Here is a 3,801-nt window from a genome sequence, read left to right as displayed (position 1 = left end):
ACAACCTCACCATTTATAACAATTTTCAAGTGATTAACCCCAAAACATAGGTTTTTGTTTCTTAACAAATAAATTCTTCAGTATAAAATATGAAAAGAATATTAATTATAAGGTGTCTTCAGTTTCTCTACTTCTTCCAACTCATTTATGAAGCTATAACTAAGGTGGGAGAGAAAATATTCTCAGTAATTTATGCCAATAGGAAAAAAGAAAACATGTGTAACCTATTTACACAATACAATAACAGTTTTAATTATAAGGTGCATATTGAAAGTCATTTTATGTGCCATTTTCTGTATTTTGACCATCAGATTAAAAAATAACTTTTACTTAACTGGAGTATTCCATTCTATGAAAAAATTATTTATTAAACACTTTTATGTACTGGGAAATGACCAGGTTATAAATAAGAGCAAGTCCTTTTTTTTCCCCATCAACATTTATTTTATGTTCTGGGGTACATGGGTAGGATGTGCAGGTTTGTTACCTAGGTAACAAACCATGTGTGCCATGGTGATTTGCTGCACAGATCTACCCATTACTTAAGCAATAAGCCCAGTATTCATTAGCTATACTTCCTGATGCTCTCCCTCCCCCAATGGCCCTCAGTAGAACCCAGTGTATGATGTTTCCCCCAATGTGTTCATGTGTTCTAGGGCCAAGTTCATATAACAACAGAAGAATAAGATTTCTTCAAAGAGGGAGTAGTTCAAAGTAATTGGAATTTGAGTTTAGCCTCAAAGAACAGAAAGATTTCAACCGTGGAGAAGGTGGAGAACATTCCCTATGAGCATGAAGGTGAAGGTGGAAGTGGGAGTCTACATTGGTTTGCTTTAATTGGTGATAGGGATTTTGCCACTTGGGTTAGGACATAGGTCACTTAGACCTCAGTAGTAGATTAGAGTGGAAATGCCGAGTCAACAGATTATGTAGTAGATTATTTATCAGGCAGGCAAGAATTTGCCAAAATAACACTTCCTTTAAATTTCACATCGGTTGCTTGCCATTTATATTTACCTCTAAATGCTCAGTTATCTCTAATTTTTGCCTTTTTTATAAAATTTTTGAGAATAATTTTTTATTTAAACATCTATTTATTTTTCTTTTCTCTCCAGTATTTAAATATATCTGGAAGTCAATTTTTCTCAGAGGTTGGGGAACATAGATTTTGCATTTTTATTTGTATGCAAGTGGATTGATTTCTGACTTTTTTCAGAAACGATAGGAACTAACATATCAGAAGATGAATTAGGTATAACGAGTAATCTTCCTCTGCACTTACTGTGTTCTTATCCTTTCTCTTCTTGAGAGCCACAAAGCTAGCTTCACACAAGCCAAGACCTAATTTAACTAAAATGAAGAATTTTAATAAGATGTGAGTTATTGTGCAGCAGCTATTTGGAAAACAATGTCATTAATTTAGCTACTGCTATGAAGTATTCTTTCACAATAAAATCAAAACTCCAAACATTCCCAATTATTTCTGCTTAATGAAGCATGAGGGGGTTTTGCCATTTCCTTAGAAATAGTAAGCAATACTGTAAAGCAAATTTATTTAGTAGAAAAAAAGTGATACATTAAAGTTTTGTTAATGGCGGTGTAGTTATCTCGTGAAAGACAGTTGGAAAGGTAATTATAACATGCAAATTAGTTTTCATGGGGCTGCATATTAAAATTATATATTAATGTACAGCATCTCGAGTTCCAACCTGTGCTTAGGCCTTTCCCAGGTAAGCAAGTTACTGAGGCTTTTGTGTTACATTTGTGGTCTCTCTACTCATAATTCCATTGTACTATTTTATTTAAAGTCTTCTAACGTTCTTGTCTAAAATCTGTCTTTTTTCCTGTTTTTATTTCCGGTTTATGAGATAAGTTATTTCTGTAACCCCCTCAATTGTTCACTTTCCTCTTACTTATCCATCTGTATCATTACTACAGTTTTCTTAAATCATCAATATGTTCAATATTGTTGTTAAACAGAGTATAACCAAAACAAAGAAATGAACCATTCTCAGAAAGTTCAATACTATGACATTGTGATGATTAATATTAGGTGCATTTAATGTTGCAGCTTGGGAAGGTAAGAAGATTCTAAGTTTATTTTCTTGGTCAGCTGAAACATGGATCAAAAGATGGCCCACTGTGAGCAAGCTGGAAATGCCCGATCTTCCTTGGTTTAGTGTACAGGAAGGGATCCAAAGGCTTAGGGATATTGGAATGCTAGATTGGATTTGTCATTTGAGATCTACATATCCCAACTGGGAGGGTCCAGAAGACATACCCTTCATCAATACCTTGCAAAATAGATTTGTGAGGGGAGTGCCTGCATCCTTGAAGAGCTCTGTGATTGCTCTTCTCTGGTGGTGGCACTCAACCGTCAGAAGCAAGGTGGTCATAGTTACCATAATAGACAGCAAGGCAAAGCAGCAATCAGAATAGTCTGACTCATGTAGAGCTCTGGCATTGGCTAATTAATCATAGTGTTCCTAGAAATGAAATCGATAGGAAGCCTACTACACTGTTACTTAATTTGTATAAGCAGAAAACTTCCAGGTCCAGTGGACAAAAGACTAATTTGAATTATAAACATAGAGCATCACCGCCCCTCAATCAATTTCCAGATTTGAGCCAGTTTACAGATCCAGGAACCCTTGAATGAAGGGGAGGCCAAGTCCCTTTGAGGAACCCCCACTACACTACCCACAATTATACTGTTAATCTTTCTCCCATCTTTCCCCAAGGAGACCTCCGCCCTTTTACCAGGGTAACTGTGCATTGGGGAAAGGGAAATAATCAGACCTTTCAGGGACTACTGAACACTACTTCTGAGGTGACATTGATTCCAGGGGACCCAAAATGTCACTGTGGCCCTCAAGTTAGAGGAGGGGCTTGTGAATGTCAGGTAATTAATGGAGTTGTAGCTCAAGTCTGACCTACAGTGGGTCCAGTGGGTCCCTGGACTCATCCTGTGGTCATTTCTCCAGTGCCAGAATGCATAATTGGCATGGATATACTTAGTAGTTAGCAGAATCCCCACATAGGCTCCCTGACCAGTACGGTGAGGGCTATTATTGTGGCAAAGGCCAAATGGAAGCTATTAGAGCTGCCTCTACCTAGAAAAATAGTAAATCAAAACCAATATCTCATCCCTGGAGGGATTGCTGAGATCAGTGCCACCATCAAGGACTTAAAGGACGCAAAGGTGGTGATTCCCACCACATCTTAATTCAGCTCTCCCATTTGGCCTGTGCAGAAGACAGATGGACCTTGGAGAATGACAATGGATTATCATAAGCTTAACCAAGTGGTGACTCCAATTGCAGCTGCTGTGCCAGGTGTGGTTTCATTGCTTGAGTAAATTAACAAACCTCCTGGTACTTGGTATGCAGCCATTGATTTGGCAAATGCCTTTTTCACTATTCCTGTTCATAAAGCCTACCAGAAGCAATTTTCCTTCAGCTGGCAAAGCCAGCAACACACCTTCATTGTTCTACCTCAGGGTATATCAACTATTTGGCTTTGTGTCACAATCTTGTTTGCAGCAATCTTGATAGCTTTTTCCTTCCACAAGATATCACACATGTTCATTACATTGATGACATTATGTTGATTGGACCCAGTGAGCAAGAAGTAGCAACCACACTGGACTTATTGGTGAGATATTTGTGTTCCAGAGGATGGGAAATAAATCCAACTAAAATTCAGGGACCTTCTACCTCAGTGAAAATTTTGGGGGTCCAGTGGCAGTGGTTGTTGCATTTGGTTCTTCCTACAACCATGAAAAAGGCACAATGCCTAGTA

Source organism: Homo sapiens, chromosome 18 (assembly GCF_000001405.40).
Source record: "Homo sapiens chromosome 18, GRCh38.p14 Primary Assembly".
NCBI lineage: Eukaryota > Metazoa > Chordata > Mammalia > Primates > Hominidae > Homo > Homo sapiens.
Note: the sequence above shows the minus strand (reverse complement) of the source record.